A 14,832-nucleotide genomic window follows, 5' to 3' on the forward strand; every position below is an offset into this window, starting at 1 on the left:
CTATGAAGCTAAAAAATGTGTGTGCACATAATTTCAAATATTAGGCCCAAGTAATTTTATTTTCGGAACTGCTCATTAATTATGGGAGCACTCAGTGTTTCAGGAAGTGTTAAGACTTCAGGGTTTCAGCAATGAAATTGATAAGGCTCTTCCCTAGATCTAAGAAGAGACAGACAATAAACATTCAAAAGCAAGAACATAAGATACTGATAAATTCTAAGAAGAAAACCCAGTAGGATGATATACAGGGGTGTGACTAGGAGGTCAGAGGAGGTTGCTCTGAGGAGGTGATGTTTATGCAAATCTGAATGATAGGAAGCCCAGCAAGAGATCTGGGAGCAGAGCCTTCCAGGGAAAGGGAAGGACCTGTGCAAAACCCCAGAGGCGAAGTCCATCTAGGCTTGCTCAAAGACAAGAAAGAGGACAAGAACATTAAGTGTGGGGAGAGTGGCAAGAGGCAAGATCATCAGGCAAGGGCGCCTCAGACAAGACCACGCCAAGGGGAGAGCACAGGGCAGAGCAGGACTGTGTGGAAATTCCAACGTGAATGACTTCCAAAATCAGGACACAGGCTCTCTCCCCAGCCTGACCTCTTCTGGTGCTTAACTAACTTGTTAGCAAAACTCCTTGGGGCACAGCACTGAGTCCTCCAGCCAGGCTGCCCCTTTGTATTGACATGGCAGGGATACAGGAGGCACGAGAGACTGTAACTTTCTAGAGTTAGAATGTCTCTAGTAACTCTAGAGACATTTTAGTGCTAACTTACAATTGATCTGGCAAAGAAAGATAGGCAGAACTATTAAAGTGTTCAATTTCCTTCCAGAGAGATTCTTCCATTTTCTCTCATTACAAAACCAGAAGATCAGCTGTGTGGGGCCATCAGCTCCCAGCCTAAGGTCCTATAACCTGAAGCTTGAAGGCAATCAGTACCTCTGCTTTATAATTGATCACTTTGAGGAGCCAAAGGAAAGAGTGAAAGATTGGGACTGCTTTGAGTGGAGATGGCACTGAACTCGTTGTAATAACTACAAATGCAATTTAAAGTAAAAGCATGAGTATATAAATTGAAAGGGCAGGTGGACAGAAAGAAGAGACTGACTCCTAGACAGGTGCTGAGAAAGCAGTGTAATTAAAAAGATAAGGAAGGGAAAGGAGCTACAACATATACCACACACACACACACACACACACACACACACACACGTTATCAGACATTCAAAAAATTAGATCTTAGACTCCACAATACAAATCCCAGAGGACAATGGATTACAGTGTTGACAGGGGAGAAATATTGTCATAAAATCATTGCATACTTAGTTATGTTTTCATTGTTAAAGAAATAAACAGACCATTTTGAGGTAGTTAAACCTCAGAGAAGAATAGCATGTATTTACTCTTCTTGAAATCTATGTTGGCTTTATGCCCCAGCTGAGATAGGAATCAAAGGTGAGGTTGAAAATAAATAGGGATAATATAAACCGTCCACCAGATTGTGTTAAATCTAAAGAATCGTTCAGTATTTTATTGTATCTCACTGTATGTGAAAAGAAACAAGTTTCACCAAACAATACTTAGCCTTATTTTGTATATGCAGTGCATTATAATATTTTCTATTTTGTTCTGTCTCTTTTTTTGTTCATGCTTGACACAAAACATTAAATTGGTTTTGCAACCTACAATTTGAAATAAAAATCACAGATGTATTTATTCCAAAATAGAATACCAATAGCAAGCATAATTAAATGAGAATATATCATAGAAAATGATAACTCGAGTTTTACACTCTTATTATGTTATTAAAAGCCAGGAAGTCAGAAATGATTCAAAGAAAAAAAAATGCATTATTTGTCCCCTGCTAAAAGTGATTGTGACTCTTGTTGGCATTGGGAGGCAGTGGGGCTGCTTTTCATGTCTGTGGTCTTTGCGTGTTGTTTTGGGTTTCTGTCCTTCTTTTCTAGCTTATGATCCTCTGAACCCCTTCCTATTTTGAGTTATCCTCAACCCCTAGTGACAAGTCATGGGCTCTTCCAGAAGACATTTCCTTCTTCAAAGCTAGAGGAATGCACTGGAGAGTAGCATGTCAGCCTGTGAGTCCACCTGTGCTATCCCGAGTACCCAGGGAGTGAGCAGAAGACTTTGAAGAAGTTCTGGGTAATCACTAGTCTGACCAACCTTGAATGGTACATGGCCCATGGGGCTACTAGGGAGGAAAGAGAAGGACAACCTTCTTGAAGACACACTTGGCTTGTATAACCTCATAAGAATGGTTCTTCAGTTATTGAAAGCAGAGTTTTGGGCCACCACAATAAAGTCACACCCCCTGATCCAAACCCACCAGCAGAGTTTACAAGCCTAGAGCACCAACACTGAAGAGCCCAATGGCCCCAGCGATAATATTTCCTGTGTGTACTGGGAGTATTACTCTCAGCCTCCCATGGAGAGAGGCCTTTGGAGAATATTAGAGAAAAAGAAATACTCACACCTCGCTGTGTGATCAGACAATGGCTCAGAACTAATACTATATCTTGAGGTCACTAGAGTGCCTTAGTCAAAGATTTAGGGGGCAAGTGATTAATAGAATACTTAGACCCCCTTAAGCCCTAGGAGAACACTATACCCATGTGTAATATTTCTGCAGCTTCTAAAAATACTGTTGAAAGGTATACCTTAAAGACGGAAGAAAGTCTGCATTGGTTCTCTGTCCTGTAAAGGCTGTAATTTTATGAAGGGGCTGGGAATTTCTCCTCTTTACCAAAATAGTCAGTAAAAAGCAATGTCTTGTCCCTGGAGGAAATGTGGATCTCCCTCTTTCTTTGGCAGTACCCGGGGCAGCGGAGTCCTCACTCTGGGCCATCACAGGCTTGCTTCCGTGCTGAGCACAGTGGTTGCTGCTGGTCCTCATGTGGGCTCCTTACTGGAGCAAATTAGCAGAGTTCCTGGCTCCTGTCCTGTAGTCTACAATTTGGTGATTTTCTACCTTACTGCAGTTAGAATTTTAAAAAGAGGTGTCTGGCTTGTTTTTTTGTTGTTTTCTATTTGCTTTTTTACCTGGAAGGGATGGAAGTACCTTTACATTATAATCTTGCCTCCAAGTTGCATTGATTTTCCAGATCTAAGCCATAATTTAGTCAGCCTGACCGTCCCCTAGGATGTCCTATTGATGAGATCTGGAGATCAGGAAGAAGCAGCACCTTAGAGGCCTTTATGTATTTATATACACACTCTACAGGATGGAAAAACTATATAAAATATGTGAAGCCATGGATGGCTCCAAACATATCTTTAAACATTCAAGGAAGTAATAATTCCAGTCTTTCACCAACTATTGCAGTCAATAGAAAGACAAGGAATGCTCTCCAATACATTTTATAAGGCAAGCATTATCTTGCTAGAGGGTCTGACCATGACAGTGTGAGAGAAAAGACCATTACAGGTTAATCTAACTCGTGGATGTAGGTGCAAAAATCATCCACAGAATAATGGCAGAACAAACCCAGCAATATATAATATATCACTTGAAATAAACATAGTTTATTCCGGGAATGCAAAGTTGGAAAAACCCACAATAAAATGCTCAACAGTCTTAGACTGGATTTCCCCCAGAAGCAGACACAAGACAAGAATTTGAGTCTAATCAATTTATTTAAGAGTTTCAGGAACCACCAGTAGAGGAGGAGGAAATAAGATTAAAAAAATGTAGGCAGAATGTGTTATCAAACTCGTTACCACTACATGCAACAGGAGTTTAATCCCACGGGGGTTTCAGATAGCATGAAACACACACCTCAGGGTTGTCTCCAGCCAAAGAAGAATCTGGAATATATAAATACCAGCTCCTGTCAGTCACTGTTCGAGGGTGCTGGCCCTGGGAGGGAAAAAAGAAAGTTAGAGGTTAATACCCAGGCACTTCAAGTCCGCCTTATGAGGAGAGAGAACAGTTTTCTGCAGCTTCCAGGACAGTCTTCAGGAGGAGAACTGCAGATTGTGGCAGCTGGAGACTTGCTTACATGTTGACGTGCTCAATTCACAGAATAAAAGAAAAAAGCATACATAGATCTCATTAGATGAGGGAAAGGCATTTGATGAAATTCAATATCCATTCATGATTAGAAAACTATAGGAACAGAAAAACATCCATCTTTACCCTGGTAAAGGGTATTTTTTAAAAATGTTAGCAAACATTGTTCTTAATTATGACACATGGAATATTTTTCCTTTTATAATCAGAAATGAGGAACAAAACAATGATGCCCATTACCCCACATCTATCTCCCATGCAAAACTGTTCTTAGAAACATTTTACTAATCCACAATTAGGAAGAACATAAATGACAATCATTAGCAGTAGAATATATAAGCAAGTCGTATATTCACCAAAAGGAAGACTGGGCAGTAAAGAAAATGAATAAATTATGGCTATTTACAGCATTATGAATGAATAATTCATGGACTCTTTGAAAAAAATCTAGCAAAGTAAAATCTAAATGAGAAAAGAGTAAATGACAGTACAGCACCTAAATTTTAAGTAGGTAAAGATTCAACATCAAAAGATGTAAAACTAAGGGAGAAAAACCAACATACATAATTGTCAAAAATCAGTATCCTCACATACTAGTTTTAAAAATCTTATTTCAATAAACAAAAATACCTCAGTAATTTAAAATTTGGGCAAATCATAATTTTTCTAGAAAAAAATAGCCAGTACATGAAAATTTTCAGCCTCACTGAAAATAAAGCAATTACACCATGACTATGATGGACTAAATATTTGTGAACCATCAATTCATAAATTGAAATTCTAACTCTAAAGTGAGGGTATTTAGAGCTGAGGCCTTTGAGAAATAATTAGGTCATGAGAGTGAAGTCTATGAAATGGGATTATTACTCTTATAAAAGAGAACCAGAGACCTGCCTCTTCCTTTTTCACCATGTGAGGACACAGTGAGAAGACAGCTGACTATGAACCTATGAGCTGGAAGCAAACCCTCAGCAAATCTGCAAACCTCCCAGCCTGCAGAACCATAGGAAGTCAGTGTTTGATTAAGTCATCCAACCTATGGTATTCTTATTTTCACAGCCTGAACAAACTAAAACAGAGAAATTAATGCTTTGTATATATAATTATGAATTTTAGAAAAATGTATGTTCTTAAATATTTTATTTCCAAACAAGAAAGAAATTGTATAAATTATATTCTCAACCTGAGAAGGTAACAATTACTATTCAAATGAACCACAGGATAAAAAGACATAATAAAGATAAAAATAATAAACTATATAATGGAAAAACTTTAAAGAACAGATAGGAGAAAGTTGTTGGACAAATAATAGCAAAATAAGTAAAACTCTGGGTAATAAAGTCAAGAAAAAAGTGAAAGAAATAAATTTTTAAGACTTATAAGAAGAGATGAGCCAGGCGTGGTGGCTCATCCTGGTAATCCATGCACTTTGGGAGGCCGAGGGGGGTGGATCACGAGGTCAGGAGATGGAGACCATCCTGGCCAGCATAGTGAAACCCTGTCTCTACTAAAAAGACAGAAATTAGCTGGATGTGGTGGTGTGTGCCTGTAATTCCAGCTACTTGGGAGGCTGAAGCTGGAGAATCACTTGAACCCAGAGGTGGAGGTTGCAGTGAGCCGAGATCGCGCCACTTCACTCCAGCCTGGTGACAGAGCAAGACTCTATCTCAAACAAAAAAAAAAAAAAAAAAAGAAGAGAGATGAAACATGAAAAAACTACAGAAGAATATAAGTTACATGTCATGATACTCTACAGCATATTCAGTGGCATATAAAGCTTAAAATGGCAGGGAGTAATCTCCACTTTCAGTTAAATGAAACTAGTGTTTTCACCTGGTACAGGCATGTTTCCGTTGGAACCAAAGGTAGTAGAGCTTGATAGAGGAAGAATATAAAAATTCTGTAAGTGAGAAATCTTGTGTAATAGTGGAGAAAACACTCCCACTTGGTCCTTGATTCCTGGACCCATATATTCAAGCTTTGGAAAAATCAGCACCCCATATCACACGCTGATTCAAATCATCTACTATCTTTAGGACAGTGCTTCTTTTTTTCTGGGTGTTGGCTCCAATTAGGATATAGCTAAGTCTTCCCAAGGCCAGGGCATTTGTTTCATCAGGTTAGCTGCTTCTGGGTGAGAGGGAAGCTAGGTGTAGTATGGTGAGTCCTCTGGGCCTGAGTCCTTCAACGCATGTCCTCTGTGCAATAAGCACATTAATCAGAGGCAATGTTGGGATAATAGTGCCGGCAAAAGCACGATCATAGAGAGGAAAACCCACATGCAGAAAGCCTGTGTTTTCCCAAGCAAAGGCCCACCCCCTCCATGATGGAGAGAATCCAGTGTCACCAACTGAATACCAGAGCATCCTGGGAATGTGGGGGTCTCAGCGCCAGTTTCTACTATCAGCAAGTTGGTCACTCAACAGTTGTAGCAACCAAAACAGCCCCTGTGTGGCGGAGCCCCAGGCATTGAGCCCAAGCAAGCATACGTATACACTTAAGATAAGATGAAGTTAGGCAAGATAGTACAAGACTGCAATACACTAGAAAAATAGTAATCACCTCCATAGACAATAAATAGTATTCGATAACATTTAAAATATTTTTAAAATAACCTTATAAACTTGAATTTGAAAGATACTTTCTCAATAAAAGAAATTAAATCTATTTAAAACTAACAACAGACCACCTTTTTAACTTTTAAACACTACAAACACTTCTATTAAGCTTAGAAACAACCAGAATCTCTGCTATTAATGTTTAATATTTAATATTGATCTAATAATCTAGTGAGCACAAAAGAGAAATAAGAAACAAAAACTGGAAAGAGTATAATCATTACAATTGGAATGTAATATAATTATCTGCTAAAAAGCACAACAGAATAAACTGACTTTTTTGGAGCTAGTAATTGACTCTAGTATGATAAAAGATAAAATATTAATATACAAAACAGCATTTTCCTCTATGTTAGTTAGAAAAAACATAATGGAAATGGAAATGCATTCGCAATGAGAACACACACACATAAATTTAGCAAGAATAACAATGTCAAGAAATATGCCATACCTAAATGAAGAAAACAAAACAAAGCAAAATACTGAGGGCGCAAAGGAAGATTAATTACTGGAAAATTATACACTGTTTCAGAATGAGTCTCTATAAAGATAACAATCCTTCCTAAAGTCATGCATCTCCAAATATATCCTAGATAGTTTTGGTGGATTTTTTCTTTTTTGGAATTTTGCCAAATTACTTTAAACTTGATCTTAGAGAAGAAATGAAGGAAAATAGCCAAAGAAGATTTTTAAAGATAAATGAATGGAGAGTTAACCACCAAGATAATGAAAGTACAATAATTAAAAGATTGTGGTGCAGGTCCAAAAATTGACAGGAAGATGAATGAAACACAACAAATGGTCCAGAAAGTGCTTGATTGTATTTAAATAATAATACATGATAAAGATGAGATGGACAGGAACTGGGAAGGTGGGGTATTCAATCAGTAATTATGATTTGATTAAAAAGGCAGTTGAATAGTCCCTATTCACCACAAACCCATGAACATTCTAGAGGATTAGACAATTACATGGAAAAATCAAGACATTCGAAACTGGTGGCAAAAAAACTTCTAAGCATGAAGCACTGGAAATAAGCAATTACAAGGGAAAGTAATAAACTGTGTTGAAACACAAAATTTCTGTAAGTAAACAAAAAATTGAAAGACAACAACTTGAAAAAAGGAAAAAAAAAAACACAGATAAGTGAATTATACCCTTAATATTAAGGAGATTATAAATAAGAAAAGAACTGACTAATTGGAAAATGGGCTGAAGACACATACAGCTACCAAACAAAAGAAAAAAAATATATTTAAAATAGGAAGAAAGGGACACAGAAGTGATATAGAGGAAATTAAAATTATAAGAATATTTTATATAAACCTATGCGAATATATTTGAAAATATAAATGTAGTGAGGATATAGGCATTAAATGCTTTTTCATCTACTCAGTACTCTGCAGACATTCATTGCCTAGGTGATCTCTGTTATTTGTCATTATAAAGAAAATGCCTGAAGACAGTCTGAATTTTATCTTAGGGTTGATCCAATTTTTTTTCTAAAAGCTTTTAGGGTTTTTAATTTTATTCCTTAATGTTAAAAATTGTTGTGAAAATATTTTGTCTCTCACTCAAATTATCTATTTAACCTTTATCTAAATATTAGCACTCTCTGCCATTTTTGTTGCTGTAAGATGTGATGGTAGTTTTTTGGCAGCAAAAACTGCCTCCAGGAGCCTATATACACATACGGCAGAACTATCAAGGACCTGCCTGAGAATGAACTGTTTAGACATTTGCTTTAATCTGTTTTTGCTCAAGTTTCCCAAAGTAATTTGCTCAGCATCCAGCACAAAGCAGATGAAAATAAATATTTCCTTCTGTAGTTTCTCTTGATGACAAGATCACTTCATGGAATAGTCCAGACTTCCATTTAGGTTTAATCAGTATGCAGTTTCTCTTCTGATATGGTGGGCAAATCCACAATGGGAAAATATAATGCAAATTATGAAAGAATGACTCAAGTTAATGCAGCACTGAAGCAGGGCACGGGTGAAGGACTGACACTTCCTAACTCCAAGACTCACTATAAAGCTATTAACAAAATAGACAAATCGATCAATGGAGTGAAAAAGAGAACTCAGAAATAGAGCCACACATTCATAGCCAATTGACCTCTGACAAAAGAGCAAAGGCAATGCTTTGGAGCAACTATAGTTTTTTACCCATGGTGCTGGAATAACCAGACACTCAAATGTCAAAAAAAAAAAAAAAAAAAAGAACCTAGACCTTACACCTTTCACAAAAATTAACTCAAAATGGATCGCAATGTAAGACTTGTAAAACTATAACTATAAAACTCTTAGAAGAAAACTTAGGGAAAATTGCCCTAGATTTGGCAATTTGTTTTTAGATACAATACCAAAAGCATACTCCTTGAAAGAAAAAAAATTGATAAGTTGAACTTCATTAAAATTAAAAACTTCTGTTCTGTGAAAAAACAGAAAAAAAAAGGTAAAAACAAGCCACATACTAAGAGAAAATATTTTCAAAACGCATATCTGATAAAAGAGTTGCATCCCAAATATACAAAAAACAATTAAAAATGACTCATTTTAAAAATGGTTAAAGCATCTGAACAGTCATCTTACCAAAGAAAATATGGCATCTTTCCAAAAGAAAGTATGATGCCAATGGCAACAAAACCTATGAAAACATGCTCAGCACATATACCACTGGGGAATTCCAAATTAAAACAATGGGATCCACTACATAACTGTGAGAATATCTAAACCCAAAACACTGACACCACCAAATGCTAGTGAAGATGTGGAGCAACAGGAATTTTCATTCAATGCCAGTAGGAATGCAACACGGTACAACCTCTTGGGAAGACAATTTGGCAGTTTCTTACAAAACTAACATACTTGTCCCATATGATCCAATAATTATTCTCCTTAGTATTTACCCAAAAGAGTTGAAAACTTCATCTACACAAAACTCTGCACAAAGATGTTGATAGCAGCTTTATTAATAATTACCCAAATTAGAAACAACCGACATGTCCTTCAGTAGGTGAATAGATAAATAAACTGTGGTTTTCCAGCAATCAAATATTGTTCAGCACTGAAAAGAAGTGAGCTATCATGTCATGAAAAGACATGGAAGAAACTTAAATGCATATTACTAAGTGAAAGACACCAATCTGAAAAGGCCACATACTGTATGATTCCAAATATATGATATGCTGGCAAAACCAAAACTATGGAGACAAAAAGATCAGTTGTTGCCAAGTGTTGGGGGGAGGGTGGGGTAAGTAAGTGAAACACTGGGGATTTTAGCACAGTAAAACTATTCTGTAGGACACTATAATGGTGGACAGATAGCATTCTGGCTTTGTCAATACCCACAGAATGGACAACACCAAGTGTGAACCCTAATGTAAAGCATGGCCTTTAGTTGATAATGGTGTGTCAATGTTGGTTCATCAACTTGGTAGGGGATGTTAATAGTGTGGGAGGCTATGCATGCATGGGGCAGGTGGCATATGGAAACTCTCTGTACTTTCTGCTCAGTTTTATGGTGAACCTAGAAATCAGTATATAAAAGGGATATTTGCACTCACATGCTTATTGCGGAACTATTCAAAATTGCAGAGATAAGGAATCTTAAGTGTCCATCGACAGAAAAGTGGACAAAGAAAGTGTGGTCTGTATACACAAGAGAATAGTATTCTGCCATAAAAAAAGAAGGAAATCATGTCATTTGCAGCAACATAGATGGAATTGGAGGTCGTTGTTAAATGAAATAAGCTAGAAAGGTATGTTCTCAGATGTGGGCACTAAAAAAGATGATCTCATGCAGATGCAGAGAATGATGGATACCAGAGTTTGAGAAGGGTGTGTGGGTTGGGGGAATGAAGAGACGTTGATCAGTGGGTACAAACATATAATTAGATAGGCGATATGAGTTCTAAGGTTCCATAGGATAACTATAGTTAGCAGGAATGTATTGCATATTTCAAAGTAGCTAGAAGAGAGGACTTGAAATATTTCCAATGCGTAGAAATGACAACTACTCAAGGTGCTGGACACCTCAAATATCCTGACTTGATCATTACACATTATATGCATGTAACAAATACTCACGTGTACCCCATATATATGGAAAATATTATGTATGAATTTTTAAAAGCCTATTAGCAAAAAGAAATGTGTTATCAAGTCACAAAAAAGACATGGGGGGAACCTTAAATGCATATTACTTAGTGAAATAAGTCAATCTGAAAAGGGTGCATACTGTATTATTCCAAGTATATGACATTCTGGAAAAGCAAAACTATAGGGACTTAAAAGGATTAATACTTGCCAGGAATTCATGGGTACAGGGGAAATATGAAGAGATGAAGCACAGGGGTTTTGGTACAGTGGAACTATTCTGTATGATACTATAATAGTGAGTACATGAAGTACATTTTTAGAACTACACAAGACAAAGTGTGAACGTTAATGTAAACTACAGACTTTAGTTAATAATTACATATCAATATTAGTTCATCAGTATTTACAAATGTACAGCAGTACATGATGGTAGTAATAGGAGAAAACAGTAGAGGAGAGAGAGGGTATATTAGAGCTCTCTGTACTATCTGCTCAATTTTCTGTAAACCTAAAACTGCTCTAAAAAACAAAAGCTATTAATCTTTTTTTAAAAGGTGACTCTGATGCTGTAAAATGTGTCAACACACTTTACTGTGTTTCAAAAAAAATTTGAGACACTCTAACCACTCAGCATGATTGAGGTCAAGGATTTGGACAGGGTTGCAACAATCACTTTGCTATTACTCTTATGTCTTTAATGTCAAATGCCAATGTCACTAAGTAATTATGAAGTCAATATCTTCAACTAAAAATCAAGACAAACAATAATTATATCTTCACACACCGAGATGCAAAATACACACTAAACTTTATGCTACTAAAAATGTTATGATTATGTTGATTATGCAAAGAAAACTATAATGGAAGCAATGAGCCCTTAAAGTACATCATACACATTTTCTACATGATGCCAAGTTAGGAATTTTTGCTACAAGATTTCATTCTGCCTGCATGTCAAATTCAAAGGTTTGAAAATGTGAATCACAGACCTATGGGTGGATGCCAGTGGTCCATTTCATAAGTTTCTCTAAAATATATCTATCTCTAGCAGTAATGTAGGCTCTTGGAGTTGAAATGGAGTAGAAATACAATGCATGCATATAAAGAAAGAAAGGAAACAAGGGAGGAGAGAAGCAAAAGAAAATAAATATAAAGGAAAGAATGAAGATTCCTTGATTGAGCTGTGTGTGAAAATGCCTAAATTCATTGTTTAAGCCTGAGAGAGTTCTGAGTATTCTCCATCCTACAGAATTTTAGGAATCAGAAAGATAGTCAAACTCTTTTGTATCTGACTTATATTTCAAATTTCTGAGAATATCAGAAAGTGTTAGATACAGCACTGGTTGCCTTGAAACTAAGCTCATTTTCCTCCGAACCTCTTGCAGATTTTTCTTAAATAATCTGTTTTGTATGTATTTGCTTCAATGACAGTTATGGATAAGGCTGACGTGCCTAAAATATTTTAATGTTCCAAGACAGGAATGCATCAAATGTTTAATAAGAGCCTCACTTCATTTTTAAATTGGCAGCAACAGCACACATTCTCATATTCCCCAGCATTAACACATACCTGTTCCCTTTATTATAGCAACAGCATGGTTGGAATGAACAGCACTGTCACATCATTTTAGATGTTTATTGTGGTGCAGCGTTGCATTTTATTATCCACAGTTTCAGGCAGTGAATGAAAATGATTTATACAAGCTTCTTAAATTATACCTATCTGTAGAAACATGACTAGGCTTTTAGATGACAATGATGCTTCTTTTTGTTACATATTAATTTGATTGCCTTCCTCCTTTCTCTTTTACCTTCCTTTTATGCTCTTTCAGGGAGTGAGAGGGTAGAAAGGAGAAACTCATAAATTTGAGAAGAGTGGGTATGGGCATTGGGAAAGAACAGATAAAATTGCAAAAATAAGGGATCCTCGTGGTACCAGACAACAATAAAGATGGCCCCAGGAGACCAATCTTAAAGCATGTTAGGGAAGAATTCCATCGAAAATCTCTAAAATCAAAATACTAATTATATTGACAGGAAAACTAGAAGAGGTGAAGTTACTGATGTCACCATTAAACTCAGCAAAATTAGAATCCTAAATGAATGCTGATGTACTCTAATTCATCTTAGGTCCTGTATTGTTTTCCCACAATATACAGGAGAGAATGTACATATTGAATGGTTTCATGAACTATTGCCACAAGGCATTAACCTATATATTCTTTATAATATCTATCATATTTATTATAAATGTCTAACAAAGTAAGAAATATGTACACAATTATAATAATATGCAAACCATATAATATAAATAGTTTCCTTAGCTTGTTAAATCCAGTTGGTAACCAATGAACCCATCCAATGAATGCATAGTATAATTTTGCTCAACACTTTTCAATATCTCCCATGTGTCCATAAAACATAAATTATGTTAAGTCGGCAATTAGAAGTCTTCAAGGCCTGGGCTCACCCTATGGTCTTGGCCCCATCCCATACTGATTCTTCCCAGATACTCTCTGGTTCAACAAAAACCCTATTTACCACACCCCAATGCACTGCAAGTTGTCATTAGTGACACAACCCAAGCCTCAGGATGATACATCTCAGACTATTTTTTAAATGTCTCTTCACACGCACAAAAAAAAAACCACCTGTTCATCCAATTATTTTCAAGAAGTAGCAGATACTATGGGAAAAGTTTATAATGTCCAAAACAGTAAGGTCCACGTATTCTTCAGCACAAAAAACGTCATAGGTCTTCATCAATTATATATACAGATAAGTGTTTCAACAGAGGAAATAATCACAAATACAGTCATGCGTCACTTAAATGGGGATATATTCTGAGAAATACATCCTCAGGTGATTTCATCGTTGTATGAACATCATAGAGTGTACTTAACACAAACATAGCTGGTAGAGCCCACTACACACCCAGGCTATATGGTAAGGCCTATTGATCCTAGGCTGCAAACCTGCACAGCACACTACTGTCCCGAATACTGTAGGCAGTTGTAACATAATAGGCATTTTTGTATATAAACATATCTAAACATAGAAAAGGTACATAAAAATATAGTATAAAAGACAAAACATGGTACACCAGCATAGGGCACTTACCACTTGAAGGACTGGAAGTTGCTCTGGGCAAGTCAATGAGTGAGTGATGAGTGAATGGAAAGGCCTTGGACATTACTGTGCACTGCTGTAGACTTTATGAACACTGTATAATTAGGCTACATTCAATTTATAAAGAAATATTTTTTTAATAATAAACTTTAGTTTACTTTTTCTTTACAAACTTAAATTTTTTAACCCTTTTGTAATAACACATTGCTTAAAATACACATTATGTAGGTTTTATATGTACATATACGTATATATATATATAAAAGATTTTCTTTATATCCTTATTCTATAAACTTTTTCTATTTAAATTTTTTTTTAATTTTTACTTCTTAAATTTTTTTTAATGTCTTACAAACACACACATTAGCCAAGGCCTACACTGGGTCAGGATGATCAATATCACTGTCTTTCACTTCCACATCTTGTCCCACTGGAGAGTCTTCAGGGCCAATAACACGCAGGGGGCTGTCACCTCCTATGATAACAATGCTTTCTTCTAGATACCTCCTGGAGGACCTGCCGGAGGCTGCTTTACAGCTAACTTTTTTTAATAAGTAGAAGTATACTCTACTCTAAAGTAACAGTAGCCGAGTGCAGTGGCCCACGCCTGTAATCCCAGCACTTTGGGAGGCAGAGGGGGGTGGATCACCTGACGTCAGGAGTTCGAGACCAGCCTGGCCAACATGATGAAAACCCGTCTCTACTAAAAATACAAAAATTAGCCAGGCGTGGTGGTGGGCGCCTGTTATCCCAGCTGCTTGGGAGGCTGAGGTGGGAGAATTGCTTGAACTTGGGAGGTGGAGGTTGCAATGAGCGGAGATCACACCACTGCACTCCAGCCGGAGTGACAGAGCCAGACTGTCTCAAAAAAAAAAAAACAATAAAAGTATAGTATATAAATATATAAACCAGTAACATAGTCATTTATTATGATCAAGTATTAGGTACTGTACATCATTGTATT

General features: G+C 36.6%; 1 long non-coding RNA gene across 1 annotated transcript; it reads right to left on the reverse strand.

Moving 5' to 3' along the window:
* Positions 1-3,623: 3,623 nt before the first annotated feature.
* LOC124901635 (uncharacterized) lies at positions 3,624-6,370 on the reverse strand. The gene is made up of 2 exons (XR_007060326.1): positions 5,852-6,370; positions 3,624-3,865 (listed from the first exon to the last, which is right to left on the reverse strand). It is a non-coding gene; the product is annotated as an uncharacterized LOC124901635 (long non-coding RNA).
* Between the last annotated feature and the right edge of the window lie 8,462 nt (positions 6,371-14,832).

This window comes from Homo sapiens, chromosome 7 (genome assembly GCF_000001405.40).
Source record: "Homo sapiens chromosome 7, GRCh38.p14 Primary Assembly".
NCBI lineage: Eukaryota > Metazoa > Chordata > Mammalia > Primates > Hominidae > Homo > Homo sapiens.